Here is a 24,024-nt window from a genome sequence, read left to right as displayed (position 1 = left end):
TCAGACAACACCTCATCTAAGAGGTCTACCCTGACTGTCCGATCTAAAATTGTAACACCCCCAACTCCCGATCCCTCTTGTCCTGCTCTATTCTCTTTCCCTAGGGTACTTATCTCTTTTAACACTCCAGATAAATTACTTATGCAGTAAGTTTATTGTTAATGTCTCACTCTCCTCTCAACAGAATTTACGCACCACAACACAGGCAAAGATGCTTTGTCTGTGCTATGTCCCAAGTGCCTAGAAAAGCTTGGCCCAGTGTAGGCCCTAAATAAATATTTTCTGAAATAATAAGAATATTTTGGGCTGGGCACGGTGGCTCACGCCTGTAATCCCAGCACTTTGGGAGGCCAAGGTGGGCGGATCACAAGGTCAGAAGTTCGAGACCAGCGTGGCCAACATGGTGAAACCCCATCTCTATTAAAAATACAAAAATTAGCCAGGCATGGTGGTGGGCACCTGTAATCCCAGCTACTCAGGAGGCTGAAGCAGGAGAATCGCTTGAATGTGGCAGGGAGAGGTTGCAGTGAGCCAAGATTGTGCCACTGCACTCCAGCCCGGGTGACAGAGCGAGACTCCGTCTCAATAATAATAATAATAATGTTTTGTTTTCTTTTTTTAATTTAGTAGAGATGAGGTCTGACTACGTTGCCCAGGCTGGTCTTGAACTCCTGGACTGAAGTGATCTTCCCACGTTGGCCTCCCGAAGCGCTGGAATTACAAGTGTGAGCCACCACACTCAACCTAATAATAATGTTTTTAATTATCACTGTGGTTGTTATATTTTACTATATTGAAGCAAATCTACCTTTATGAGTTCACAGTCCTTTCTCTTAAGGTTGTCTGTTCTACCTTCTACTACATTGTTTTCCTTGGACTTTTCTCTACCTTATTAATCTCTATCTAATAGTCATAGTGAATTGAAATTGTTGGTATTTGGCCTGCAATATGTGCAAAAGTATGACATCTAATTTAAGTTCTAGAAAAATTTTGAAGTAGACAAGAGCTCTGGTTGAAGAATTAAAAGGCCTAGCAGCATAAATGGAATTTTGTGGTGTTTCCAACTGCCTAGTAAATATTGCAACTGATTAGAGATTAAAGATGCACCAAGCCTCACTGGAATTTTTTTCCTTTTTAATCCATTCCATTTTTTATGCATTACCAGTTTAAATTAGTTATAGACTACTGATATACACTTTATAGGGTGCTCAATAATTGCTAACTGAACTAAATTGAGTTCTGATTAGCCAACTGGATAATTCAGGCTTTTGAGAGTTATTCCTGTCTTATATAAATTTCTCTCAACGAAGTAATTCCAGAGCACCACAATTTTGTCCTATAATTCAAAACTATACTAAATCTCCTAGAATCTCTGAGCAATGTTTTCATTGTTTTGTCCCCTAGCATGAGAAGAGAATAACTTTTAAACATGTATTGCCACTTCCCAAAAAAAAAAAGCATCAAAGGCTAATTTTATATCTTAATAGAAAAAAACCAGAGAACAAGTTTTTGTGATTCCAAGATCAAGTTATATGCACACACTGTACACTAATCGGGGTCACATGTAAAAGCAGAGAGGGCCCTATCCATTCCTAGCAATAGAGCAGACATTCAAAATGAAAACAAACAACAACAAAAACAAAGATTACTCTCTTCCTTATTTTTAAGGGACCAAGAGAGATTTTTCCATCTAGATGATAAGGTGTAAAAAAGAAACTAATCAGCAATAGTATCAGGTCCAAGAGACAGAGTATGCACTGACTTGAGGGGAGTTATGGCAGGAAGGAGGAGCACAACTCAACAACCTCAGAGGAGGTGAAATGCAGCGTGAAACTGAGTGAATAAGACCACTGTGTGCCCACGGAGTCTTCCCAATCCATGCCCACCTGGAAACCTCGGCCATTTTGAGCTATTTCCAAATAAGATGAGGGGTCATTTCATTTGCACATGATACTAGATAAAAGGGGTCTTATACTAAGCAACCTGTGACTATGAGCTTTCCTAGCTGAGAAAAGTGGCAGCAAAATCAGGGCTCTAACTGGATTGTTCAAATGGAGCACATAATCGGAGAGTAAACTGAGGAACATCCCCTGACAGAGACATAAACTTGAATTTAAAATAATCAAAACTTTTCTAAGGAAAAGTAGAAGTTACCTCTGTCCTAATCTGATTAAACTCTAATAAAACAAGGGAAAAAACACTAAGAGGAGCAGCCAGAACAAATCCCCACAGGTATTCTCCAGTTAGCAAAGGAGACAGTGCACAAATGAAATCTTCAGAAAAAAAGATTTGGAAAGAAATCTGCATGGCTTTTAAACTCATTGTCCGAACTTAGAGAATGCCTCTTCATCCTGGAAATCAGAACCCTCTAAATGCAATAAAGAACCTTTGCTTAATGGCAAACAAAGACATCCCAGGTGCAATTAAACACCTTTATAGCAGCTCAATTAAATGGTTTCATATGTGCCATTCCATTTATCCCCTGACACACTTTTCTCACGTTTTCATACTGCTTTATCCCTGAATGGCAGTATTCAATGGGAACCAGCGCCAAATAGCTCACCCTATGGCAGGATAAGGAACCTTTTGTTCTTTTCAAAGGCTGACCCATTGGGGAAAAAGTAATTGAGAGCCACGTGCTTATAGCAACTTAATAAAACTCTTCTTAGAATGGCATGTAGAGAATAGGACCTTTTAATCAGCAGATGTTAGGGATAGAAAAAGCAAAGAAATAAAGAGAATAATACAATCTACTACAATGATGAATTCTGTAAAAAAGCTAAGGGAATAGAGAATAAGAAATTCTCTATCTTGATTTTTCAGGCAAATATATATACATAATGTAGGAAAATGTGGTCAGTGAATTTTATTCAGGCCCATATGAGTATCCTTAATTATCATCCTTGAAAAATATTTGCCTGAATTTGAGAAATGAGGCACAGAAGGCAAAGATTTTTCTCTAGGTGTCATTACCATAAAAATACATTTAATCCCTGAGTTTGTTCTGATTCAGTCTGCTTTTGTGAGCGGGCAACTCATATCCTTAGCCAGAAGGGAACTAAACTGAAAGCAAAGTGAGTTAAGCTAATTAAAGGGTGTGGATTTTCATTTTAAAGCTCATTATGAAACTACCATGGCTACTAAGTCTCAGCAAGGTCATTTCCCAAAAGTTGGTTTAAAATGCTGACTCCAGGAGTCCTCCCTGGTAGTAAGAGTTCAGAAGCAGTTACCTGAGGCTAAGAATCACTAGCTTTCAGTTTCACTTAAATGCAGAGCGATGCAGGATTAAAATGTGGCATCTCCAAGAGTGTTCTCTACTCTATGAGGAAGCCTTGCGACCTCTTCTCATCAAAGAATTTCTCTTCTTCTCCTCCTATGATTGGATTATTAATAACAGGTTTACTGCATGTGGCCCTAGATTCATTACTTTGATCTTTCACTCTCCTTATGAAAATTGTTTGATCATTCCCTAATTCCTTACTGAAAAAATGATCAATTCTTAGCCTAACATTCCAGGTCATTTGTAACTTGGCTCCACGACTTCTCTACCCATATCCTATTTCTCTGGCTAAACTAGGATAGCTACAATTCGCCAACGACGTTTCACCCTTTTCTGCATCGCCACTCTACATACTCTATGGAATGGCCACTCTTCCCCATCTCTCTGCGTTCATAGAAACGCCGGCACCCAGCACATGTGGGCATTCTATCATCATTTATTATAATTGGACATAACCAGTTTAAAAGTTCCACACCCCTTTTTTGCTTTGGAGATAGGGTCTCAACTCTGTCACCAAGGCTGGAGTGTGCAGTGGCACAATCACAGCTCACTGCAGCCTGGAACTCCACGGCTCAAGTGATCCTCCCATCTCAGCCTCCCCAGTAGCTGGGACTACAGGTGTGTGCCACCACACCTAATTTTCGTATTTTTTTATGGAGGCGGGGTTTTGCCATGTTGCCCAGGCTGGTCTTGAACTCCTGGGCTCAGGCGATCCACCCACCTGAGGCTCCCAAAGTGTTGGGATTACAGGCATGAGCCACTGCAGACAGCCAAAAGTCCCCTTTCTTTTTTGTTTTGTTTTGTTTTTTTCTTTGAGATGGAGTTTCACTCTTGTCACCCAGGCTGGAGTGCAATGGCACGATCTCGGCTCACTGCAACCTCCGCCTTCCGGGTTTAAGTGATTCTCCTGCCTCAGCTTCCCAAGTAGCTGGGATTACAGGCACTCATCACCACGCCCAGCTAATTTTTGTATTTTTAGTAGAGACGGGGGTTTCACTACGTTGGCCAGGCTGGTCTTGAACTCCTGACCTCAGGTGAGGTGCTCCACCTGCCTTGGCCTCCCAAGTGCTGGGATTACAGGTGTGTGCCACTGCAACTGGCCCCAAAATCCCCTTTCTTAAAATTAATAGAAATAATCCACTCTGGCTCTGGCCTCTGACAATACTTTGTTGAATCTTTTCCGCTTATTACTATTACAAAGTAATCTGTAATGCTTACAAAAATTTTTCAAACAGTAAAAGGGATATAAGATAGAAATTAAAAGCTAATCTTAGAGCCAGGCATGGTGGTAAATGCCTATAGACCCAGCTACTCTGGAAACTGAAGTGGGAGGATCAGTGGAGTCCAGGAGGAGTTCAAGACTATAACTTGAACTTCTGGTACATAAGTTATAGGTTTCCCTCCTACTCAACATGAGAACTTGGAGTTAAACCTTTGTGCTTTTGTGTTTTTGCTTCCCCTCAGCAGTGTAATGTAGAAAAAAACATCCTCAATAAATATTTGCTGATTGAAAGACTTACGAAATACTAAAGGTATTAAGGATAAAACTTACTTATTAGATGGAGGAAAAGAATTTATTGGCAACAGTTATACTAGGCCTATGTCTTCTCTTTTTGTTTCTTTCTTTCTTTCTTTTTTTTTTTTTTTGAGACAGAGTCTCGCTTTGTAGCCCAGGCTGGAGTGTAATGGTATGATTTCGGCTCACTGCAACCTCCGCCTCCCAGGTTCAAGTGATTCTCCTGCCGCAGCCTCCTGAGTAGCTGGGATTACAGGTGCCCTCCACCACGCCCGGCTAATTTTTGTATTTTTAGTACAGACGGGGTTTCACCATGTTGGCCAGGCTGGTCTCAAACTCCTGACCTCATGATCCACCTGCCTCGGTCTCCCAAAGTGCTGGGATTACAGGCGTGAGCCACTGCGCCTGGCCAATCCTTATTTTAATAACCCCTAGGCAATTTGTTTCTTCTACTAATAAAACGTCTTGAACAAAAGGCATTATGGAAGAAAAGCACTCTTTTTCTGTATTACAACTCTTAATACTTCACTTATGATACCAAATGTGTGAGTTTTTCCCTAACGCTAAGCAATTCTCCAGCTCTCCAGATACCAAGTGGGTGTCCTCTATTCTATGATGACAATGACTGCCTGGAGTTAGTGCAGACCCCACACGTTAAGGGCTCAGTCCCACAAGACTCTCCCCTACTTCAGATGCCAATCACAGGTAGTTGATCTCCAGGTTACCCAAATTTCTGTTTGACTTGGCTATAAATCAGGGGTTCCCCGGATCCCCTCCTCAGGTTCAATAATTTGCTATAATGGCTCTCACAGAACTCAAGGAAACACTTATGTTTGCTTGTTTATTATATGGTGTGGTGGCTCACGCCTGTAATCCCAACACTTTGGGAGGCCAAGGTGGGCAGATCACCTGAGGTCAGGAGTTTGAGACCAGCCTGGTCAACATGGTGAAACCCTGTCTCTACTAAAAATACAAAAAGTTAGCCAGGCGTGGTGGTGGGCACCTGTAATCCCAGCTACTTGGGAGGCTGAAGAAGGAGAATCACTTGAACTTGGGAGGCGAAGGTTTGCAGTGAGCTATGATTGCACCACTACGCTCCAGCCTGGGCAGGAGAGCAGGACTCTGTCTTTAAAAAAAAAAAAAAAAAGAAGGATAATGATAAAGGATAGTGATGAGCAGCCAGATGAAGGTGTACAGAGGGCAAGGTCTGGAAGGGTCCCAGCACATGAATGTGTTCACAAACCCAGAAGGTCTCCAAACTACACTTTGGAGAATTTTTTTTAAAAATTAACAACTGTTTTATTGAAATATAACTCATGTACCATAAAATTCACTTTTTAAAGTGTATAATTCACAAAGCTGTACAACCATCTCATTGCTTTTTTTTTTTTTTTTGAGACAGGGTCTCACCGTATGGCCCAGGCTGGAATGCAGTGGTGCGACCATGGCTCACTGCAGCCTCAACCTCCGAGGCTCAAGTGATCCTCCCACCTCAGCCTCCTGAGTAGCTGGACCATAGGCAAATGCCACCATGCCCAGCTAACTTGTTTCATTTTTTGTAGAGACAGGGTTCTACCTATGTCATCCAGGCTGGTCTCGAAATCCTGGCCTCAAGCAATCTTCCCAACTTAGCCTCTCAAAGCACTAGGATTACAGACATGAGCCACCATGTCTGACCCCATCTCATTGTATTTTAAAATCCAAACCATAATCATGGCCCATAGCTTTATGTAATCTGGCTCCTGCCTACCTCTAAAACTTCATTTCATGACATGTTTGCCTCTGTAATTGCTGTTTCCTTAACCTGGAATTCTGGAATACATTTTCTACTTGCATTTCATATGGCTGGCTCATCCTGATGCCTTCAGTCGAATATCTCTACAGAGAAAAAAAAAATTTTTTTTTTTTTTTGAGACAGTTTCACTCTTGTCGCCCAGGCCAGAGTGCAACGGCGCGATCTCGGCTCACTGCAACCTCCGCCTCCCGTGTTCATGCAATTCTCCTGCTTCAGCCTCCCGAGTAGCTGGGATTACAGGCGCCCACCCCCACGCCCAGCTAATTTTTGGATTTTTAGTAGAGACGGGGTTTCACCATGTTGGCCAGGATGGTCTTGAACTCCTGACCTCAGGTGATCCACCCGCCTTGGCCTCCCAAAGTGCTGGGATTATAGGCATGAGCCACAGCGGCTGGCCTCAGAGAAAATTTTTCAGACACATTATCCAAAATACCCTCCATCCAATTACTCTTTATCATATTATCCTATTTACTTTCTTCTTTAGATTTACAATGTGTAAATGATACTATATTACTTATTTGTTATTGGTATATTGTATGGCTTTCCCACTAGAATTTCCATAGGATACAGATTTTTTTAGCTCTGCACTTTAGAGATTTTTATGGAGGCTTCATCACATAAACATAATGAATTATTAATTCAATCTCCAGCTCTTCTCACCCCTCTAGAAGATGGAGGTGGGAAGAGTTCCAAATTTCTAATCATGGCTTGGTCTTTCTGGTAACCAGACTCCATCCTGAAGCTATCTAGGAGCCCATCAAGAGTGGCCTCATTAGAACAAAAGATGGTCCTATCACCCAGGAAATTCCAAGGGCTTTCGGAGCTCTGTGTCAGGAACCAGAGCCAAGATCAAATATTAGAACAAAAGATGTTCCTAACATCCCTGTGGTTCAGGAAATTACAAGGGTTTTAGGAGCTCTGTGCCAGGAACCAGGGGCAGAGACCAAATATATATTTCTTATTATGTCACAGGCATGTGCTAATGAGACCCTGTTGCCATTCCCCACAACAATACTGCCAACTCACTGTTAGCTAGGACGGACACGGTAAGGATGATAATTAAATTCAGACAATAATGCAACATATTTTAGCCATGTGTTCCAACAGCCCACCCAAAAAATCTTAATCAAGCTGTCATCTGACAGAAAGAGAACTAAAAATATAAAGCCACCTCTTCTATTGTTTCTCTTGGAGATAACAAACAGAAATAAATAAAGAAACAAATTAAGGAATAAAAACACACAGGCATGTACAATCAAAACAAAAAACAAGCCTAAAATATTTGAACAGGAAAAAGCCTGTTACTTTACTACAGAAGGGGAAGGCTATTAACTAATAGAGAAAGCAAGGGATAATTTACAACACAATTTTCTTGCAACCAACCATAAACAGACAAACAGTAAGAAACAAAAACAAATAGTACCAAGACTAAGCTCTCACTTATTGAATCAATAGAATGAGTTTAGGAGGTAACTCCTGGCTAACATAACTGATAAACACAGTGAGCAACCATTTCTCAACCTCACAATTACTTTATGTCACACATGTCCCCCTCTGAAGAATTTACGTTATCACTATGGGAAAAAAGTACGTGCCTGTCAACTTCAGCATTCCAAGACTAAAATCATACTCTACCGCCCTATCTCTCCCCAGTCCAGTCCTTGCCCATGTTCCCATCACATGGGTTGGACACCCCCAACCTTTATCATTCTCAAATATAACCTACCACCAAATCCTGCCAAATTTGCCCCCTCATAGCTCTGGTATCTACTTCCTTCTCTATACATCTTGGCCCCCCAGCCCTACTGCTGAGTCTTTTTTTTTTTCCTACTTTTTATAGAGATGGTATATTAGTCCATTCTCATGCTGCTGATAAAGACATGCCTAAGACTAGGTAATTTATAAAGAAAAAGAGGTTTAATGGACTCACAGTTCCACATGGCTGAGGAGGCCTAACAATCATGGCAGAAGGCGAAAGGCATGTTTTTTTTTTTCAGATGGAGTCTCGCTCTGTCGCCCAGGCTGGAGTGCAGTGGTGTGATCTCGGCTCACTGCAACCTCTGCCTCCCAGGTTCAAGCAATTCTCCTGCCTCAGGCTCCCGAGTAGCTGGGACTGCAGGCGCGCGACCCCACACCTGGCTAATTTTTGTATTTTTAGTAGAGGCGGGGTTTCACCATGTTGGCCAGGCTGGTCTCAATCTCCTGACCTCGTGATCCGTCCTCCTCGGCCTCCCAAAGCGCTATGATTACAGGCATGAGCCACAGCGCCGGCCGAAAGGCATGTCTTATATGGTGGCAGACAAGAGAGAATGAGAGACAAGCAAAAGTGAAACTCCTTATAAAAACATCAGATCTCATGAGACTTATTCATTATCACGAGAATAGTATGGGGGAAGCTGCACCTACAATTCAATTATCTCCCACTGGGTCCCTCCCACAACACGTGGGAATTACGGGAGCGCAATTCAAGATGAGATTTGGGTGGGGACATGGCCAAACCATATCAGATGGGGTCTCACTTTGTTGCCCAGGCTAGTCTCCAACTCCTGGGTTCAAGTTATCCTCCTGCCTCAGCCATCCACAGTGCTGGGATTACAGGCATGAGCCACTGCATCTGGCCTCTCCTCTTCAATCTACCATCAACTCTACCCTGGAATGCTTCCATGGCCAACCAAGTCTGCCTGCGCCATTCCAATCTGTCCCAAACTTACCCGAATTACTCGATTGTTAGATGGTTTCTCTCTGCTCTTAGCAACATGAGCAAAATCCTTAACAGAGCCTAGGAGGCGCTGTGTGGGCCCCAGAGCACCTCTCTAGCCTCAGGCATCTTACTCTCTCCTACACCCCTGGCTCCAGCCACTCCCGCCTTCTTTCAGGACCTTTACAAGCTATGTTCCCACCTGCCACAGGCATTTGTAGCACCCCACCCCTATTCACTTCACCAGTTAACTTCTAGTCATGCTTAGGTCTGAGCTCAAGTGTTGCATCCAGAAGAAAACCTAAGTCAATCTAAGTCTTTCATTTGCTTTCATAGAGTCATGGGGGGATTTCCCCACTATTTAGCACTTAGCTCAATCTGTAATCAATGACAAGGTTAAGAACACTGGCTGTGGAGACAGACTACTTGTGTGGGACCCCCTTATCTCCCACTTACTAGCTGTGTGCCTCAGTCTTATTTGAAAATGGGGACAATAGTATCTACTTCATCGGGTTACTAGGAGGATTAAGTACCCCTACTGACTTAGACCAGAGGTCAGCAAACTATTGCCCACAAGCCAAATTTGACCTGCTGCTTGCTTTTGTAAATACAGTTTTATTGGAACAGCCACATGCTTGATTGTGCATTGCCTGTGGGTGCTTTCATGCTACAATGGCAGAGTTAGTAGTTGTAAGAGAGACCACATGGCATTCACAGACTGAAATATTTACTACCTGGCCCTTTACAGAAAAAGTTTGTCAATCCCTGGCATAGACTACGTTTAGTCTACACAAATAAATATGGCTGAATCTTGAAAACATTATCCTAAGTCAAAGAAACCAGTCACAAAACACCACATATTATATGAGTCCATTTATGTGACATGCCCAAAATAGGGAAATTCGTAGAGACAGAAAGTAGATTAATTGATTGCCTAGGGCTGGGGGTGAGATTGGAGGTGGAGATGGGGGTGGGATTGGGGAGGGGTGACAGTTAAAAGGTATGGGGTTTCTTTTTGGGGTGACAAAAATGTTCTAAAATCCTAGCCAGGTGCGGTGGCTCACACCTGTAATCCTAACACTTTGGGAGGCTGAGGTGGGCAGATCGCTTGAGCTCAGGAGTTCAAGACCAGTCTGGGCAACATGGTGAAACCAGGTCTCCACAAAAAAATATGAAAAATTAGCCAGGTGTCATGGCGCGCACCTGTTTGGGGGGCTGAGGTGGGAGGATCGCTTGAGCCCAGGAGGCAGAGGATGCAGTGAGCCGAGATCACATCACTGCACTCCAGCCTGGGTGACAAAGTGAGACCCTATCCCAAAAAAGAAGGAAAGAAAAAAAAGGATGAGAGTCTGTCATTTGTAACAACATGGATGGAACTGAAGGTAATTACGTTAAGTGAAATAACCTAGGCACAGAAAGAACGTCACATGATTTCACTTATCTGTGGAAGCTAAAAATTAAAACAACTGAACTCATAGAGATAGAGAGTAGAAGAATGGTTACCAGCGGCTGGGAAGGGTAGTTGGAGGTGCAGGTAGAGGGGAAGAGTAGATAGTTAATGGGTGCAAAAATGGTTACAAAGAATAAAGAAGACCTAGTATTTGCTAGCACAACAGGGTGACTATGGTAAAAAAAACAATGCAATTGCTCAGTTTAAAATAACTTACAGAGTATAACTGGATTGTTTGAAACACAAAGGATAAATGCTTGGGGTAATGGATACAGATATGATTATTATGCATTGCATGTCTATCTCAAAATATCTCATGTAACTCATAAATATATACAACTACTACGTATTCACAAAAATAAAAAATAAAAAGGGAATGATGAAAACTTTTTAGTTTAGTTTAGTTTTGTTTTGTTTGAGACAGGGTCTCACTCGTCACCCAGGCTGGAGTGCAGTGGCATGATCTCAGCTCAGTGCAACCTCTGCCTCCTGGGCTCAAGCAATCCTCCCACCTCAGCTTCCCAAGTAGCTGGGACTACAGGCATGAGCCACCACACCTGGCTGGCTGGCTATCTGTCTATCTATCTATCTATTTATTTTTAGAGACAGGTTTTTACCATGTCGCCCAAGCTGGTCTTGAACTCCTGGGCTCAAGCGATCCACCAGCCTCAGCCTCCCAAAGTGCTGGGATCATGGGCATGAGCCACTGCACCTGGCCGAAAACTTTCTTAATGTGATGAAGAACACTGATGAAGAAAAAAATACTAATAACATATTTAATAACAAGAAACTAAATGCTTTCTCTCTAAGATCAGGAACAAAGCAAGGATGTATACTTCCATCACTTCCATTCAACATTGCACTGGAGTAAGGCAAAAAAAAAAAAAAAAAAAAAAAAAAAAACACCAAGGCTGGAAGGAAAAAAGTTAAATTGTCTTTAATGGCAATGACATGAACTTTTATGCAGAATATCCTACTGTATCTACAAAAAATATACCAAAACTAATGTGTTTAGCAAGGCTGCAAGATACAAGCTAAATATACAAAAATTAATTGTACTTCTATATACTGCCAATGAAAAAATCAAGAAATTGCTATTTGAAAATATCATTCATAATGGCATCAAAACAAATAAACTACTTACCAATAGATTTAACAAAAGAACTGCAAGACTTATTCAATGAAAACTACAAAACATTGTTGAAAGAAATTTAAAGATCTAGGTAAATATAAAGATAGCCTATATTCATGGACTAGAATACTTAATATTGTTAAGATGGCAATACTTTCCAACTTGATCTACAGACTCAATGCAATTCCTATCAAATCTTAGCTGCCATTTTTTTTTTCAGAATTGGACAAGCTAATCCTAAAATTCATATGGAAATGCAAGTGACTCAGGATAGCTAAAGCAATGTTGAAAAGAATTAAGTTGGAAGACACACAATTCGAATTTCAAAATTTACTAAAAGCTACAGTAATCAAGATAGTGCAATATTGGCACATGGGTTGATCTATATAATAGAAGAATGGAATAGCACTGAAAATCTAGAAGTAAATTCTTCCACTTATGGGCAATTGATTTCTGACAGGCATGCCAAGAAAAGTCAGTAGGAAAAGAATACTTTTTTTGACCAGGCACAGTGGCTGATGCCTGTAATCCCAACATTTGGGAGGCTGAGGTGAGTGGATTGCTTGAGCCCAGGAGTTCAAGACCAGCCTGGACAACATGGTGAAACCGTGTCTCTACAAAAATAAAAAAAAACAAAAAATTAACCAGGTGTGGTGGCACACACCTGTAGTCCCGGCTACTCAGGAAGCTGAAGTGAAAGGATTGCTTGAGCCCAGGAGGCAGAGATTGCAGTGAGCTGAAATGGCACCACTGCACTCCAGCCTGGGTGACAGTGAGACACTGTCTCAAAAAAAAAAAAAAGTTCTAAAATCCAATGTGATGACTGCTCAACTCTGTGAGTATACTGAAAACTACTAAATCATATGCTTTAAATGGGTGAATTGCATTGTATGTGAATTTGATGTCAAATTATATCTTAATAAAGCTTAATAAAATATTAGCTAATATCTATAAGATTATTTGATCAACTTCTGCCTCCTCATTAGCTTATGGGCTCCAACAGTACATGACCCATGTCTGAGTTTGCTCCTCATTTTGCCTGCAGCACCTACCCCAGAGCTTTCATGCTATAGGAATTTAGAAAACATTTATTGAATTAATGATTAAATGGCTAGGGAAGGAGGGAGCAGGAGTTTGTTATTTTTCCTCAATCAACATACAGATTTAAGTACTTAGTTTGTTGGGAAAATATGTGACATAAGATCAGTGATTTCTACTTTGAGCCTCAGCATGTGGAGTCCAGCAACCTCGTGTTGCCACATGAGCAAACCACACCCTTGTGTAAACACCTGACAGTCTTATACTGAGGCTTTTGTTTCCACCCTCACTGGAACATAGCTCCCGGCTCTCTGCGTAAGCAAGTCTTGTATTTTTAGCACATGAAAATAAGCCCACAATACTGATAAAAGTCTAGAAGTTGGGTGCTATTTGTCTCTCCTCCTTCTCACACTCTTCTGATTCATCTAAGTTGCTCAATAAATATCTACGGAATGAAGAAATAAAGAAATGACTACATTTATTTTAACACATATTTGTTACTCCTTGCTACCTTTTAACTACCACATAAAACTGAACACTTTTCTTTTGAAAAATCAAGGTATGTGAGCCTGAACACTTTCTACTGGGGCAGCAGTCCAAGCACCTCTGACTTCTGAGTGCAAAAGAACCAGACTGCACTAAACAGAGCTGTGCTGTGATTATAAATCCAGGGTTCTTACATTTTGGAATGCCAGCAAATTACTCAGGGTTATTGTTTAAGTGCAGGTTTCTGGATCCCAACTCCCAGAGATTCTGATTCAGGGCTTCACATATCTCACTTTGTGAAATACTTGTCTAAATAGATCGGACAATTTACATGTATGACTTACTCTTGAAACAACAGGGAATAAGAAGGGCCTGGCAAAAAATAGCGATGAAATGATAAACTCTGAGATATTAATATATCTCAAAATAAATATTATAACACATGAGTATTTTTTATAGAGATGGGGTCTTGCCATGTTGCCCAGGCTAGTCTCAAACTCCTGAGCTCAAGCTATCCTCCCACAGTGCTAGGATTATACACGTGAGCCACTGCACCTAGCCCTAACACATGGCTATCTTAAGAAACACTTGGAGGGGCTCAGACGGCTTGCTGAAGCAAGTCAGGCCCGGGAATAAGTGGAATGTCACAGGTAAGGAACTATGACACTATTTCATTAAGGGCTACCAATAAAGTAGTCAGGTAAGCATTTTATAAACGAGAAAACTTCCTCCCAGAAGATGGAGGATATTTTATTTGCTCATTCAATAAAACATCTAAGCTGGGTCTGGGGGCTTGTGCCTGTAATCTCAGCACTTTGGGAGGCTGAGGTGGGAGGTTCACTTGAGCCCAGGAGTTCGATACCAGCCTGGGCAACCAGGTGAGACCCTGTCTCTAAAAAGAGCACAAAAATTTAGCCAGGCATGGTGGCGCACAGCTATAGTCCCAACTATTCAAGAGACTGAGGTAGGAGAAGCACCTGAACCTGGGAGGTCAAGGCCACAGTGAGCCGTGATCGTGCCACTGTACTCTAGCCTGGAAGACAAAGTGAGACCCTGTCTCAAAAAATAAAATAAAACAAAACATCTATTGAAAGCCTACTATGTCTTGGATAATATGCTCTGGATCTCACATCTGGTGGAGGAGAAATTCAAATCCAGATGTGTCTGATTCAAAATCCATGTTCTTTTCATTATAGTTCAAAATCAGCTGAAATGCCAAATCCATGGCTACTACCCTATCTCTCACCTCCCCTTCAAATCCAAACTTCTTGAAAGAGTTGTCTACACTGGCTATTTTTACTTCCTTACCTACCACTCATGTCTCAACCCACTATAAACTGGGCTGCCCCAAACACTACCTAATTCTCACCTAGGCCACTTATATATTTCGGGCTGCCCCAAACACTACCTAATTCTCACCTAGGCCACTTACGTATTTCCATTGTTGAACCTAATGGATACTTCTTGGTACTTATAGGATATCTTAAAACTTCTGACACTGTTTCCTACCCTCTCCTTTTTTAAATACTCTCCTTCTCTGGGGTCCATGATACCACACTCAGTTGGGTCTCTTCCTACTTCTCTGGACATCCCTTCTCAAGCTCTGCTACGGGCTTGTGTTGCTTTTTCTATCTGTGTGATGTTCTGCCTAGACCCTTCTCTTTTTCTAGATATTTTCATCTACTCCAATGGAACAAATTGCCATTTACACACTAAGGACTCCCAAGTATTTACCTTCAGCCCAGTTGTCATCTCTCCTATATATCCCATTGTTGTCTGGATATTTCCATGTGGTTATTCCATAGACATCTCGAACTCAACATTTCCAGAACTGAGTCATCATGTCTAACCAACTCCCTTCCCAACCAAAGTTGTTCTCCTGCACTTTTTTTTTTTCAGTAAATGGTTCTATCATCTACTGATTTGCCCAAGAATAAATCTATCATTTTTTCTATTTATTTATTTTTGAGACAGAGTCTCGCTCTGTCCCCCAGGCTGGTATGCAATGGCATGATCTCAGCTCACTGCAGCTTCCACCTCCCAGGTTCAAGCTATTCTCCTGTCTCGGCCTCCAGAGTAGCTGAGATTACAGGTGCATGCCAACACGCCCAGCTAATTTTTGTATTTTTTAGTAGAGACAGGGTTTTGCCATGTTGGCCAGGCTGGTCTCGAACTCCTGGCCTCAAGTGATCCACCCGCCTCTGCCTCCCAAAGTGCTGGAATTACAGGCATGAGCCACCATACCCGGCCAAAACCTATCATCTTTGATACATCCTTCCCTCTCCTTCTCCCATACCAAGTCAATCAAAAAGCCCTGATACCAATTAGATGATATCTCTTGAACACCTATTTCTCTCCATCTCCACGGCCACCTCTACATCAGGACACCATTCTTTCTCGGGTGGACCACCCTAACAGACTTATGCTGGTCTTTCTGCCTCCACCCTCACTCCCTTAAAGACTAGACGCCACACTGAAGCCTGGGGGAATTTCTAAAACAAGTTTTGTGACTGCTCACAATCTCTCCATTGCTTCTGCTTGGTCTTAGGAAAAATTCCAGACCCCTATATGTTTATATGACCCCTCATCTCTTCACATTCTCCTTCAAATTTTAATTCTCCTTTAAATCCTCAGTCTCACTGAACATCCATTTCGTTGAATGTACCACATTCAGCTCATCTTCTGGCCTCTCCTGCCCGCAGCATCTTCTCATCTTCACACTGCTCATGTGCTACCATCTTTTAGGTAACAGCTTAGGAATCATTTTCTCTGGGGAGCCTTCCTCAGGTCTGGGTTAGGTACTCCCACTCCATACTTCCGTAGTACCAAGTCTTGCCTCACTTGGAGCACATACCCCATGATACTGTGATAGTTTACGCGCTTGTGTGTATCTCTGTAATCAGAGGATACATTTTAGAAGAGGATGTGCCATGTACTAACCCGTGTGCTCAGCACAGTCCTTATACACAGTAAGTGTTCAAAAATATTTGTTGAATAATGAATGAACAAATAAATGAATGGGGCTTTCAGAGTAAACCGACCTATACCTAAGAAAAGCGTAACAAGAAATGAAATAGTACCTCTTACCTTAAAAAAAAAAAAAAAAAAACTTACCTTTTATCATGTGCCTGATATCTCTGTTTTACAGCAAAGTTTCTTGAAAGTATAAATCAAGTGACTCTCTCCACTTCCTCGTTCTCCTATTCTCTCCTCAATGCAGAGTCAGGCTTCCATTTCCACCTCTTGACAGTGGCTAAGCTTGTCAGAGCCATCACAACAAATCTTAGGAGCGCAATCCAGTGGGCTCCTCTCTGTACTGACCTTACTTGACTGCTGTGTGGCATTTATTATGCTTTACCATACCACCTTCCTGAAACACGTTCATCTAGGGGTTTCCATGCCATTGCGTTCACCTGCTTTTCCTTCCTTGTCACTGGCTACTCCTTCTCAGTGTCCTTTCCTTGTTCCTCCTCTTCCACTTGACCTCTAAACACGGAAAGACCCAAAGGTCTGCTCTTGCTACACGCTCCAAAGGTGATCTCATTCAGTCCACCACCAGGTCAGGCCACCCCTTGCCCACCACAATCCAGCCACACTAGACTTCTTTGGCTCCATGAATTCAACAACCTTGCTTCTATCCTAGAGCTTTTCTTTGCCCTGCTACCTCAGATTGGACCCGCTTCCATGCTGCACTTTGCAGGCAGTTCCTTGTTATTCGATCGCTCCTAAACTGTCCCTTCTCAAAGAGGCCTTCTCTGATCTAAAGAAGTCACCCAAGCTCTATGATATAAACTCACTTAAATCTTCTGCACAGCCTTTACCATACGCTGATGTACTTCTTGATTATAATCTAGTCTGGCTTAAATATAAGCACCATGGGCACATGAAGCTTATTGAAGTTATTTACCTCAATATTCTCTTACCCAAAATAGTGCCTGATACAAGGTAGGGTCACAGGAAACATTTGCTGCATGAATGAATCAGAGAGCAGTTTTACCTGTGCTCATAAAAATTATAATTATGTGATGAAGTGGGAAATGTGAATTCACCTGGACTTTTGAAATATGCTATTTTGAAGACATCAAAACCCCCTGGAAGTTTGCCGACAAAGCATTCAGATGGAGGCAGACGGAGATATACAGCAAACCTAGTTCCCACTATGAAAAATCCTATTTAACTGAAGAAAAGGCAAACGATTCCAATGTTTTGGAAAGATATTAAGTGTTTCTCAAATTTGAGAAGGGCTCTTTGTGCTCCACCTTTGAGCCAGGTGCCCTTTACCTTATAACACGACACCACTGATGAAATTGTGCAGTAAAGATGGAAAACACAACACCACTGATGAAATCCCCTGTGCAGTAAAGATGGAAAAATCCAGTGCCCGACCAGTGAATGCTGCTCCACCCGACAAGACAGCAGCAAAAGCGCGTGGCTACTCTTTCTGCCTTTTCCCTCCCATGCTCGCCCAACATGCATCACCGCACAGACCTTCAACGACAGTAAATTATTCATCCGGCATCTGACGTCTCTCTCCCAAAGAGACACATATTCAGAACTTCAGACATTCCATCTCTGATAAATCATTCATATCCTTTTATCCGCCACTTTTAAATGATTATAAAAATACCTGGTGGTAGTAAACTGTGGCTCTCATACATATTGAGAAACAGAAATGCAGTTACCTTTTACCAAAATTCCCTGAATTATTTAGAAAAATGGGAGTTACTCCAGGAAACTATAATCACCAATGTTGAAATTAGATAAGGGAAATAATGTTTTGAACAGGCACATTTAGAATGACCTCCAATTCAGAGTGTTAAACCATACACTAAATCCAGCAAATGGTTACAATTTAACATACTATATTAACTTCTTAGTTTTTCTATCTTAAAGGTGATGTTATTTTAAGTTTTGTTTTTCTAATGTACTACTTCAAGCTCTGAATAATTACACCCCCACCCGACATACATGGATACAGAAAAGCTCAGAAAATCTTGTATCTCATGGGGCTAATTAAAAAGGATTTTTATTTCTATAAGGAATGAATGAGATCTTTGTTAACCCACTTTAACAAGACTCTAAATGACCCTGGATTTATCTTGCCCTAGTTTTCAAAATGTAACTGACCCAGAATAAAGTAAGCTTATCCCCAAATTCCTGGCAAAAACAGAACCAAAGTTCCCAGAAGCCAAAACTGTATATAAAAGCTAAAAAAAAAAAAAATTTGAAAAACACTTTGCAGTGCAAATACCACAAAAGCTCTTATTTTATTTTTCATTTAATTAGAATATTTTTAAGATTATAAAGCTTGAGGCCAGGTGCGGTGACTCATGCCTGTAATCCCAGCACTTTGGGAGGCCAAGGCAGGCAGATCACCTGAGGTTGGGGGTTAGAGACCAGCCTGACCAACATGGAGAAACCCCGTCTCTACTAAAAATACAAAATTAGCTGGGTATGGTGGCTCATGCCTGTAATCCCAACTACTCGGGAGTCTGAGGCAGGAGAATCACTTGAACCTGGGAGGCAGAGGTTGCAGTGAGCCAAGATTGTGCCATTGCACTCCAGCCTGGGCAATAAGAGTGAAATTCCGTCTCAAAAAAAATAAATAAATAAAAAGATTATAAAGCTTAATATCAAAGCAAACAAACTTCCAAGAAAACACAGCAAAAGACAATATCAGTTACTATCACAGGAACTTTCTAGAAGCTTTTGTATTGTTATAGTAAAACACTGATAGCCAGTGAGGGACTATAGCTTGATTGCTTTCTCTGGTGTAATAAGCATCTAACCAGCCAAAGATAATTTGCTTTTATTTATCATAACTGAGTAATCTGAATTGGTTAGAGAAGCAAAAATATTACCTGCTAATACATGTCTTTTCTTACTCTTCATTAATCATTAACCTCAAAATCCCACACTGGGGACTTTACTACAAAAGGGTAGAAATTCCACCCAGAAGCCTTTATTAAAAAATTAATTAATTATTTATTTTAAAGACAGGGTCTCACTCTGTCATCCAGCCTAGAGCACAGTGGTACGATCATAGCTTACTGCAGGCTCAACTCTTGGGCTCAAGAGGTCCTCCCACCTCAGCCTCCCAAGCAGCTGGACGTACAGGGGAATGTTGCCATGCCCAGCTAATTTTTTTTTTATTTTTTGTGGAGCCAGAGGGGTCTCACTACATTGCCCAGGCTGGTCTCAAACTCCTGGGCTCAAGCAGTACTCCCATTTCAGCCTCCCAAAGTGCTGGGATTACAGGTGTGAGCCACTGCACCAGCCGAGAAGCTTTTATTAATAGTGTTCCTCTTCCTAAGACTTCACATGGCTTCATTCACTCACAGTTATAAGGTAGAACAGAGTCTTCTCTCATAAACAGAATACGAAAGCACTATTGAGCCCCTAAACATCATAGACACACTTCACTGCCTGAAGCCTAAAGAAATCATGTTTCCATCCTATCTGACAATTTTCATGAACATTCAAAAGTTCTTCTAATTTGGGGTACTTCATAGAACTTTTTTTAATATAGAAAATGGCCACTCACTCATAATAAAATTGTTTATTGAAAACCTAAAATATTCAGAAACTTGATTGGCAATAACAACTCAGGAATATCATATGTACCTACAACATACTTCGAGGAACTCCGAAAGATTATTGCAGGAAGTGATATCCAAAGATGAGAAGAAATTCAAGAGTAAGAACAGTAAGAAGACAACAATCTCCAGTGAAGTTCTGACCAAACTGTTTCATTTTTACAGTGAGAGGAATTTATAACTCACATTGCAAATAATGCTATATACAGTACGTTTTTTATTCTTCACCTCCATAAAAATGAAACATAAAAAGATATTCCAGACAACATTTTTGGTCATATTTTGGTTGAATTTGTACAATGGATACCACAATTAGAAACATAACCCTTTAAAGTTAAAGACTTCAACTCATCTCCTAAGAATGATTATATTTGCGGCCCAGGCTATTTTTTCACTTCCACATGACATCAACAAGCAAAAGCACATCTAGACTACATGCTTCTTGAAGGTGCCCAATTTATTTCTTTGTACTCCTAACACCTAGACCACTGTGCATGATTGGGGTTCACCATTTACAGAGTAAATGAATAAAATTAAACATTGCATCTCCATTACGATGTTTGTAACCTAACCCACTAAGCTTGGATAATTTTTAATGCTTCTAAAAATAATACAAAAACTGAAAGCCTCCCTTCAGATGGATACTCAGTATATAATAAATAAATTTAAATGGAGTAATAACCTAACTACAGAGACTCACGTTTCACTACTGAACCCTACGAAGTAAGGATACCTACCGAGAAGACACAGAGGGTTTTTTAATCTTTTAAAATATGTCATCTAGACAATAACAGCATTAAATAAAACATATGAGCCTTGTTTGAAATGACACAGTAACTGGGCTGAATGATTTTATAGAGGTTCGTGCAGATGGTTAAGCATTCATCAGCATCTTGGTAGGACTGCTTGCAAGTTAACTCCTGTGTGGTGGCAAAGGTAATAGAATCCACACTCATTCCTAGTTCAGTGCCTAATTAATGATAATATTCTGTATCTGGATGCTGTTTTTCTAGAGCATTGGCCTATGTTGTTTTTGAAAGCCAAGTAAATTGCTCCTGTTACAGAAATTCATATGTCCTTTATGACCAACAAGTTATACTTACTTGTTAAAAAATAACTTAAATCTAAAATAAAGTATCCAAAACAGTTCAAAATTGCCTACAGTTGCCATTTAAAATTTCTCAAGATGAGTCCACCTACACAGCCAATTTCGCTTGTTACTATGACTTTCAAATAGATCCTCCACCTGCATCATGCTTTTAATCTTTCTATACCTGAGAAGTTCTCAAGAGTTTCTTTGTAAAGTACCTTTTATCTATAAAAATTTATTTTAAGCACATTGATATAAATAATATTTAATGGCCTTCATATTTGATGCTATCTTGCCTCATAAAAACACACTAAATAGGCCAGGCACAGTGGCTCATGCCAGTAATCCCAGCACTTTGGAAGGCCAAGGTGGGAGGATCTATGGAGCCCAGGAGTTTTGAGACAAGCCTGGGCAACATGGCAAAACCCCATCTCTACTAAAAATGTAAAAAATAGCTTGGCGTGGTGGCACATGCCTGTAATCCCAGCTACTCAGGTGGCTAAGACACAAGAACTGCTTGAACCCAGGAGGTGGAGGCTGCAGTGGGCCAAGATCGCACCACTGCACTCCAGCCTGGGCAACTGAGCAAGACTTCTGTTTCAAAACAAAACAAAACAAAACACACTAAATAAAGTTAGTAATGTGGGCATTAAATATGCTACTACTATTTTCCCAAGCAGCTCAACTTCAAAACCTTGGAGCCTTTCTACCTTACCCATATTTACAGTTGCAAATTCCTAGTGTCTCCCACCTTAAAGATTTTCTTATCTGTCCATACTTTCACACTCACTGCTATAACCCAGGCCCAGGCAAACAGTACCCAACACCCAGATATTTGCTAATACTTCCTAATAGGTTTCTCCAACTACTTTCCACCCTTTTCCAGCCTTCCTGTACCTCAAAGCCAGATTAATCCCTTAAGGCACAACCCTGACATGTGACCATGTAACTGTCACTCTTAAGACACAATAGGTAGGCACTGCCTAAAAGCAAAAACCCCAAACCCTTGGGTTTCAATTCAACTCCATGAAGGATCTTAATCTCAGAAATACTTCGGAAGGGATTCCTACTTTGGTCTCAAATTACACTGAATTGCAAAGAAAATCCCATTTAACTTTAAAGTCCTGTGATACTTATCCAACATTACCCCTACTGCTTTCATAATCATATCTATCCAATACTTCAAAAAAGTGTTCCCTGGGCACACCTTTCCCACCCGAAGGGCTCAGCACAGATGTTGTTTCTGACAAAGTATGTGGTTATTATTTTTTTAGGATCAAATAAAAGGAAGCACCTATTACTTTGCCAAGGAAGAAATCCAAATGGAAAGAATTAAAGGAATTCTATAATGGGCATTTTGGTAAAGCAAATAATTTTTAAAGAAGCCATTTATGGCCAGGCACAGTGGCTCATGCCTGTAATCCCAGCACTCTGGGAGGCAAAGGTGGGAGGATAGCTCGAGGCCAGGAGTTCAAGACCAGCCTGGGCAAAATAGCAAGACTTCCCCCGTATATATTTTTTTAATTTTAAAAATTTAAAATTAAATTAAATTTAAAAAATTTTAAACAGCCATTTATTATCATTTTAATAGCCTGAATTTCCATATCGCAAAATCATTTAAAATATGGACTGCTGGCCAGGTGTTGTGGCTCACGCCTATAATCCCAGCACTTTGGGAGCCAAGGCAGGCAAATCACTTGAGGTCAGGAGTTAGAGACCAACCTGGCCAACATGGTGAAATCCCCTCTCTACTAAAAATACAAAAATTAGCCAGACGTGGTGGCAGGCACCTGTAATCCCAGCCACTCAGGAGGCTAAGGCAGGAGAATCACTTGAACTCTGGAGGCGGAGGTTGCAGTGAACCGAGGTCACACCACTGCACTCCAGCCCGGGTGACAGAGCAAGATTCTGTCTCAGAAAAAAAAAAAAGAAAGAAAGAAAAAGAAAAAGAAAAAAATACATATATATATGAATAAATAAAATGTGTACTGCCCAGAGTAATATAGAATGCACTAAACTAAAATGAATTCCAGTTTTATAGAAACCCACTCAAATTCATAAATACCATTCCTTTCTCTTCCTAACCATTCAAACAGTCCAACACCATCCTCTTCACTAAATGCAGAAAACATAAATATCTACCCATAAAGGGTACTCTCAGGGCCAGGTATGGTGGCTTACGCCTGTAATCCCAGCACTTTGGGAGGCTGAGGTAGGAGGATCACTTGAGTCCAGGAGTTCAAAACCAGCCTGGGTATCATAGCAAGACTCCCATCTCTACAAAAAATAAAAACGTTAGCCAGGCGCAGTGATGTGCACCTGTAGTACCAGCTACTTGGGAGGCCGAGGTGGGAAGATCACTTGAGCCCAGGAGTTTGAGGCTGCAGTGAGTCGTGTTCATGCCACTGCACTCCAGCCTGGGTGACAGAGCAAGACCCTCTCTCAAAAAAAAGAGGGAGGGTACCCTCAAATTGGCTTTACAAAGATATTTTCTCAAAGAGCACACAAAAAAATCAATGAAAAGAAAGATAAAGTCACTTGCTTATCGTCCTGCTCTATGAATTTCGGCAAAGCACTGCCTGATCTTCAGGGCTGATTCCTTTTAGGCCCTGTACATACGGGCTATATGCTTTCATAGCATATTAATGATGAAGCACTACATTTCAACTGAGACATTTTAATCTTTTCTTGCGTGTGTTATTCTGAGTCAGGGTGTTGCCACAATTGTCTCACCTTAGATTAAGTTTTTGCTAAAATAAAGCAGGCTTTATAAGTTAATTAGGCCATTCTACTGTCTCTATCTGCCTCTAAAAAAAGGTTCTGAAACAAAGAAAAATAAAAACTTTCTTATGAGCAGGGATCCTGAGCCTCTTATATTACATGAAATCTCTTTCTCATATTACCCCAGGGATCATTAAGCACATGTGAATTCTGTGAAATACG

The 24,024-nt window shown here is 41.0% G+C and overlaps 1 protein-coding gene across 29 annotated transcripts in view, besides 2 other annotated features; it reads right to left on the bottom strand.

Annotated features, from left to right (window-relative positions):
• SYNE2 (spectrin repeat containing nuclear envelope protein 2) overlaps positions 1–24,024 on the bottom strand; it is a 464,854-nt gene that overhangs the window by 289,973 nt on the left and 150,857 nt on the right. The window lies entirely within an intron of this gene.
• Positions 2,282–2,451: an enhancer, noted in NCBI's record as "experimental_35095 CRE fragment used in MPRA reporter constructs". NCBI's record gives its function as "activates a minimal promoter by MPRAs in K562 erythroleukemia cells, with activity observed for both the introgressed and non-introgressed 14:64400829 variant alleles {active_cell/tissue: K562}" and the evidence as "EXISTENCE:reporter gene assay evidence [ECO:0000049][PMID:34662402]".
• Positions 2,657–2,826: an enhancer, noted in NCBI's record as "experimental_35093 CRE fragment used in MPRA reporter constructs". NCBI's record gives its function as "activates a minimal promoter by MPRAs in K562 erythroleukemia cells, with activity observed for both the introgressed and non-introgressed 14:64400454 variant alleles {active_cell/tissue: K562}" and the evidence as "EXISTENCE:reporter gene assay evidence [ECO:0000049][PMID:34662402]".

This window comes from Homo sapiens, chromosome 14 (genome assembly GCF_000001405.40).
Source record: "Homo sapiens chromosome 14, GRCh38.p14 Primary Assembly".
Lineage (NCBI taxonomy): Eukaryota > Metazoa > Chordata > Mammalia > Primates > Hominidae > Homo > Homo sapiens.
This window is presented reverse-complemented; position numbering and strand designations above follow the sequence as displayed.